The 7277-nt window shown below is 36.6% G+C and overlaps 1 long non-coding RNA gene across 1 annotated transcript; it reads left to right on the top strand.

The window, feature by feature from the left end:
• The first annotated feature begins 3890 nt into the window (after positions 1-3890).
• On the top strand, positions 3891-6807 carry LOC124901158 (uncharacterized). Its single transcript, XR_007059096.1, has 2 exons — positions 3891-4023; positions 6502-6807. It is a non-coding gene; the product is annotated as an uncharacterized LOC124901158 (long non-coding RNA).
• Positions 6808-7277: the final 470 nt, after the last annotated feature.

The following is a 7277-nucleotide window of genomic DNA, read 5'->3' as shown; positions in this document are numbered from 1 at the left end:
CTCAGGGCACCCCACTGCTCTGTGCAGCCTCAGGACAGTGTCCTGTGTCCATGCTGTTTCATCTCCAGCTGTGGCTAAAAGGGGCCAAGTTACACCTTAGGCCATTGATTCAGAGGGTGCAAGCCCAAACTTTGGAGGCTTCCATGTGGTGTGGAGCCTGTGGATGCACAGAAGTCAAGAATTGATTTTGGGAACCTCCACCTAGGTTTTAGAGGATGTATGGAAACACTTGGATATACAGGCAAAGGTTGCTGCAGGGATGGAGCCCTCACAGAGAGTCCCCACTGGGGCATTGTGAAGTGGAGCCCAGAATGGTAGATCTACTGACAGCTTGCAATGTGGTCCTGGAAAAGCCACAGACACTCAACACCAGTCCATGAAAGCAAATGGGTTGGGTGCTGTATCCTGCAAAGCCACATGGCCAGAGCTACCCAATGTTGCTGGGGTCCACCCTTTGCAACAGTGTGTCCTGAATGTGAGACATGGAGTCAAAGGAGATCACTTGAGAAATTTAAGGTTTAATGACTGCTGTATTGTGGTGACTAAAATGCTGATAGTGATATGGACAATGGAGTCCAGGCTGTGGTGGTCTTAGATGGTGATGAAGAACTTTTTGGGAACTGGAATAAAGGTGACTCTTAACTATGGTTTAGCAAAGAGACTGGCAGCAATTTTCCCCCTACCCTAGAGATCTGTAGAACTTTGAACTTGAGAGAGATGATTTAGAGTGTATGGTGGAAGAAATTTCTAAGCATCAAAGTTTTCAAGAGGTGACTTTGGTGCTCTTAAAAGCATTCAGTTTTATGCATTCACGAAGAAATGCTTTGGAATTGGAACTTATGTTAAAAAGGACAGCAGAGCATAAAAGCTTAGAAAATGTACAGCCTGATGATGCAACAGAAAAGGAAAAAAATTCTGAGGAGAAATTCAAACCATCTGTAGAAATTTGTATAAATAACAAAGAGCCAAATGTTAATTGCCGAGACAATGGGGAAATGTCTCCAGGGCCTGTCAGAAGTCTTCAGGGCAGCCTGTCCTATCACAGGCCCAGACCTACGAGGAAAAACTCAGGCCCAGGGCCTTGGTGCTTTATGCAGTCATGGGACTTGCTGCACTGTGTCACAGCCATGGCTAAAAGGTCCCAATATACAGCATAGACTGCTGCTTCAGAGGTTGCAAGCCTCAAGCCTTGGTAGCTTACACACAATGTTGGGCCTGCAGGTGCACAGAAGTCAAGAATTGAGGTTTGGGAATCTCCACCTAGACTTCAGAGGAGGTATGAAAATGCCTGGATGTCTAGGAAGAAGTTTGCTACAGGGGTGGAACTCTCATGGATAACCTCTGCTAGGGAAGTAAGGATAGGAAATGTGGGGTCAGAGCCCCCACTGGGTCACTGCCTAGTAGAGCTGTGAGAACAGGGCCACTGTCCTCCAGACCCCAGAATAGTAGATCCACTGACAGGTTGCACTGGGTGCCTGGAAAAGCTGCAGGCCCATGAAGGCAGCCGGCAGGGGGAATGTATCATGCAAGGCCACAGGGGAGGATCTGCCCAAGACCATGAAAGCCCACCTCTTGCATTACATGCCCCGGATGTGAGACATGAAGTCAAATGAGATCATTTTGGAGCTTTAAGATTTGACTGCTTTGCTGAATTTCGGACTTTCGTTACCCCTTCATTTTGGCCAATTTCTCCCACTTGGAATGGGTGTATTTACCCAATGTCTGTACCCCCATTGTATCTAGGAAGTAACTAACTTATTTATGGTTTTATGGGATCCTAGGTGGAAGAGACTTGCCTTGTCTCAAATGAGACTTTGTACTTAGACTTTTGGGTTAATGCTGGCATGGAATGGTGTGTTTCATGTGAGAAGAACATAAATTGCGGGACAGGGGTGGCATGCTATAGTCTGAATGTTTGTGTGTTTGTGTTTCCCCAAAATTACTTTGCTGAAACCCTAACTCCCATGCAAATGGTAGGAGGTGGGGTCTTCAGGAGGCAATTAAGTCATGGGGATGCGGCCCTCATAAATGGGACCAAGAAAGACCCTCTGGCTCTTCTACCATGTGAAGTAACAGTAAGAAATGTGTCTTTATAGACACCTTGGTTTATACCAATAAACTGGGCATCTCTGAGACACCAAATCTGGTGCCGTCAGTTTCGATTTCCCAGCCTTTAGAAATGGGAGAAATAACTGTATGTTATTTATAAGCTACCACATTTGAGGTATTTTGTTATAGAAGCCAATATGGACTATTACAAAAAAGTTACTTGTTTCTAATTTACCACAAAAAGTGGTTATTGTTTTACATGTAAATATTTAATTTCAAAGACCTATATGTTTGATTAAAACATGCTTCTGTTATGTTTCTTGCTTCACATTCTTTTCTTCTATTGCTTTTACAACCTTTTGAAATTCCAATTAAGATTTATACTGTAAAAAAAATTACAGTTTATATGCCCGAGAATGTTTAATTTTCACTCTTGAGTGAAAGTTTTAATTTATATAAAAGCCTAAGTGGATATATACCTATCAAAATACTTTGAATATATTAATTCAGGTCCTTCAGCTGTTACTTTTACTTATAAACATGTGTTATCACCCTAATGTTGTTTCTTTGTGGTTAATTTTGACCTTCTACCTGGTAATTTTTATGATTTGTCATTCAGGTTCTGCAATTTGGGCACAATGTTTCTGTTATATGTTTATTATATTTATGCTTGCCATGTTTTTCTTCTATTGACACATCATTATTAACCAAAAATATTCATAGACTTTGCTTTTATGTGTTCATCTTTTTGAATGTCTATAATTTACTTAAGGAGACTTAATCATATATACCTTGTTTTTACTTTATATGAAGTAGTTTTTAAATAATTAAAAAAAGTTACTTGATGAATACACCTTCATAACAATGTGCATGACATTTGCATTTAAACTACCATAACCAGCACACATTTACATACTTACTTACACACACACACAGAAAATATCCACACCCTGGAAGTTTCTTTTGTTCTCATAGAAAGCCCAAAAGAATATGGATTGATTGGATTGATAATCAAATATACCAAGGTTACAAGATGTAGTTCAATATACAAGTCAATTTTATATCCTATAAAAAAATACACATCTGAGGTTATATGAAATTCATATAAAAAACCTAAGATAATATAAAGTGAAAAAATCCCATAAAAATTGTATCAAAACCCATGAAATACCTAGAAATAAATGGAAATTCCATTTAGTTACTTTTGTAGTCTCCAAAGTTCTCTTTCCTCAACATATAAAAGATATATTTTAAAGGTATGTCTCATAATGCCTTTATCTGCATTTCCTGATAGACCTTTTCTATTCCCCCAGCCCAGGTTTGATTTCGTATTTTAGCATATAATTTTTTATCCGTTTGTTTTCTTTTTGTTTTTGTGTTTTAGAATGCAGAGAAACTCTAGAGGATAAAATCTTCTTATTGAGAAGGTTAAGGTTATGGCTGTTGTCCTTCCCCTCCCAGCAAATACGGTGTTAGCAATTTAATATTATTGAGGATTAGAGAGTTCATTTTAGAGATCTGTAAGGTTGCTTTTATTTTTCCCTTAGCCACAGGATATGACCCTTTGGGATTATTAGCTGAAATTCTGAGTGGTTTGCCCGTTTCAGTGCTACTGTGTTCAGATTAAAATCAACTTTGTTCTTGCTAGCATCTTACATCTCTGATACTGCTTAATTCTCTAGCCTTCCAGGGATTACAGCCTTCTGAGCATCTTACTTTGTCTTGACTTCTGTATGCAAAGTTTTGAATTTTGCAAAGGATTTGTAAAAGTATATAAAAATATTTCCGCTCGCTTCTGTGAGGATTCTTTGATGTCAGTTTTGTCTTTCAGATCACAGCCACTTTGGAGGATCTGAACTCCAATTCTGTTTGCACACTAGAGGCCCTGTTGCTGTCTGCTATGATTCAACAGCCCTGTTCCCTAACTGTCCTCAGGGTGCTCAGTTTTCTTCTCTTGGAGATTGAGTACCTCAGGTCTCATCAGCTTTCTAAAGCCTTTACACACATACACACACACACACAAACACACACATCCTTGCATGTTTTATTTCAGCCTTCAATGGGTAAGCTACTATAATTAGGAACATTCTATCCTAGACAGTGCCAGCATTCCCTATGTTAACACTTAAAACATAAATATATTTAAGTTTTTCAGAATGCTCTATTTTTTATAGTCATTGCACTTTAAATGGTCCATCTTATTTCTTTGTTGACACTTTCTCATACCAGTGTATTTTTTAATGAACTTTTTAAGAGCTAATATTCTCCAGAATTTGTGTCTTGTGAAAGTATATACATCTCTTCTGGGGTTTGCCTGTTATAAAGGCTCTACTTTTTAAGCAGTTATGATTTTTTTTTTGAGACAGTCTCGCTCTGTTGCCCAGGCTGGAGTGCAGTGGCATGATCTCGGCTCTGCAACCTCTGCCTCTCAGGGTCAAGCGATTCTCCTGCCTCAGCCTCTGGAGTAGCTGAGGCTACAGGCGCACACCACCACACCAAGTTAATTTTTTTGTATTTTTATTGGAGACAGGGTTTCACCATGTTGGCCAGGCTGGTCTCGAACTCCTGACCTCAAGTGATCCACCCGCCTCGGCCTCCGAAAGTGCTGAGATTACAGGTGTAAACCACTGTGACTGGTTGATCTACTTTTTATATGAGTGTATTTGCTGTGTGCTTCCCAAATATGCATAGTTTGCATTTGAATCTACCTCCCATGCTGGTAAGGAATAGAGTTTTCCAGTCCTTTTTGCCCAGTGAAATTTTGGCCAGATTAGGAAAAATATCCTTATCTGCCTCTGATATCCAGATTTACTTGGTATCAGTGCCTATTTATCAACCTTATTTGAGCTCCCTTTTTGCTTTAAGACATCAAGCAATTTTATTCTTGATTAGGGATTCAATAACATATGGAACAATAAGTTTTTATATATTATTTGACAAAATGATTATTATTGTAAAGTAGTATTAAGTTTGATCACTATTTCTGTTGAGTAAACTAGATTAAATAGAAGTCCTGGTATCTGATAAAAGTAGTTACACCCAAGTATGCTTCTTTATAGTTATCATACAAAAATTATAATAGTTCCCTATTCCTAGTTATCACTCTAAATTTATATATTAATAAATAACAAATCACTTCTGCAATAACACTAGTGCTTAGTCATTAAACCAAAGACAATATTCCTTATTATTATATTTTTCTTTAAAGGTAAGCAGAATTGATAAACATGTCTTGATTAACATTAGTGACATTTTGCTCTTGGGATCTATTGAAATTCTTCATTGAATTCCTTGAGAGACAGTTATTCATTATTTCTTATTCAATAAATATTTATTGCTTCCTGGCCTTTTGATTATTATACACTAGATATAAAAAATGTGGTTCTACATATGAAGTTTATAATAATAAAGTAAGAAAAACAGAAAGTAATAAGAAAACAACTACATAAATATACAGTGTAAGAGAACATTATAGTGAGACTTTCTCAGTTTTGGCCAAAGAATGTGTATTTCATAGCTAAAGAAAAGAGTAAGAACACCTAGTCAGATCATGCTTAGAGATCATATGAACACACATGATAATACAGTATGTCAATTACAATTATCTTTTGAGATTGCTATGTGTTCGAACTCAGGGTCAAGGGCTGCCTTTTTTAATAAAGTAAAATATGTCGAAGTAAAAAGGTTATTTTCAATAGGAAAGACTGAGACTAACACAGAAACAGAGATAATGGAGGATATGGCTGATAAATTTGCATCTCTGAATAAAATGAGTTCATGGACATTTCCACTCATTGTCTTTTGTTTATACCTATTTGAAAGTTTGCAATTTTTTAACCTAAAATAACCATAAGAAGGACTTGGCATGACCTTTTAAGATTAACCTAAAGTATGAGGCACCAAAGACTTGTGTTAATTCTTCTTCCAAATGTACAGAAGTTCTTTCTTTCACAAATTAATAGTAGTAAATAAGAAGATAATATTCTAAAAACATATTAAAATACAGAGGCTATAATCTTACTGTTTCTTATATGGCTAGTACTATTTTCTTGGTAAAGTTAAAGGCAAAATAGATTCTAAATATAAGTCATTTTGCAAATTTAGCAGAATTGGAATGCCTATTTTGGCAAAGTATTAAAATAGTTATTTTCAAACACTGTTAGATGTCCAATTTGCTTCATAGAAATTTTGAAATACAAATGTCACACATAAATTCTACACAATTAGAATAAAAGAAGTCTCAAAAATAGGGTCAGAAAATGCAAACACACACACACATACTTTAAACCTTTGTTCCATTTTCTCTTAGATAACATACTTAATTATTGATCTACCAATTTTCAACAAATTATTTTCATGTTCTCATTTAAAAAAGTGTATTTTTTTCTGTTGCTATGATAAAATACCATAAACTGAGTAATTTATTAAAACTAATAAATTTATGTTTTACAGTTCTGGAGACTGGAAAATCCAAAACCACGGCACCAGCATCTGGTGAAGATCTTTTCATGGCAAGAGAGAAAACACATGCATGTCAGCTCAAATCTCTTTCTCTTTTAATAATGTTGCTAGTCCCATCATGGAGGCCCCAGCCTTATGACCTTATCTAATGCTAATTACATCCAAAAGGCTCCACCTCCAATCAACATATGAATTTGGAAATTAGGTTTCCAATACGTGAAATTTGGGAAATGTATTTAAACCACAAACAGCCAGTTTAAAAGATTTTGCATTGAATAATAAAAGTGAACCAACAAATGTATTATGTGTATTTTTTAATCAGGTAGAATAACAGACACAGTCTTTTAAAAATAGTTTTTGATTTAGCTAAATACTTCATTTTGTGTGCTTTATTCCACATTCTTTCCTTCCTTCCTACCTTCCTTCCTTCCTTTTTCCTTCCTTCCTTGCCTCTTCCTTTCTTTATTTTCTTCTTTTTTTAACTAAAAGAAACATCTTCATTCATAAAACTTTGGAAGTCACTATGAAAGAAACCACAAAATGTTACTGTATGTAATTTAGTAGAAAAAAACATTTATAGGCAGACTCATTGGCTTATGTTTGTATTCCTGCCACTTTGGGAGACCAAGGCAGGATGAGTATTTGAGCCCAAGAGTTCAAGACCAGCCTGGGCAACAAAGAGACACCCCATCTCTACAAAAAATTGAAAAACAAAGTGACTAGACATGATAGCAAACACCTGTAGTCCCAGCTACTCAGGAGAGAAG

Source organism: Homo sapiens, chromosome 5 (assembly GCF_000001405.40).
Source record: "Homo sapiens chromosome 5, GRCh38.p14 Primary Assembly".
Classification (NCBI taxonomy): Eukaryota; Metazoa; Chordata; class Mammalia; order Primates; family Hominidae; genus Homo; species Homo sapiens.
Note: the sequence above shows the minus strand (reverse complement) of the source record. Positions and strands in the feature narration are given on the sequence as shown.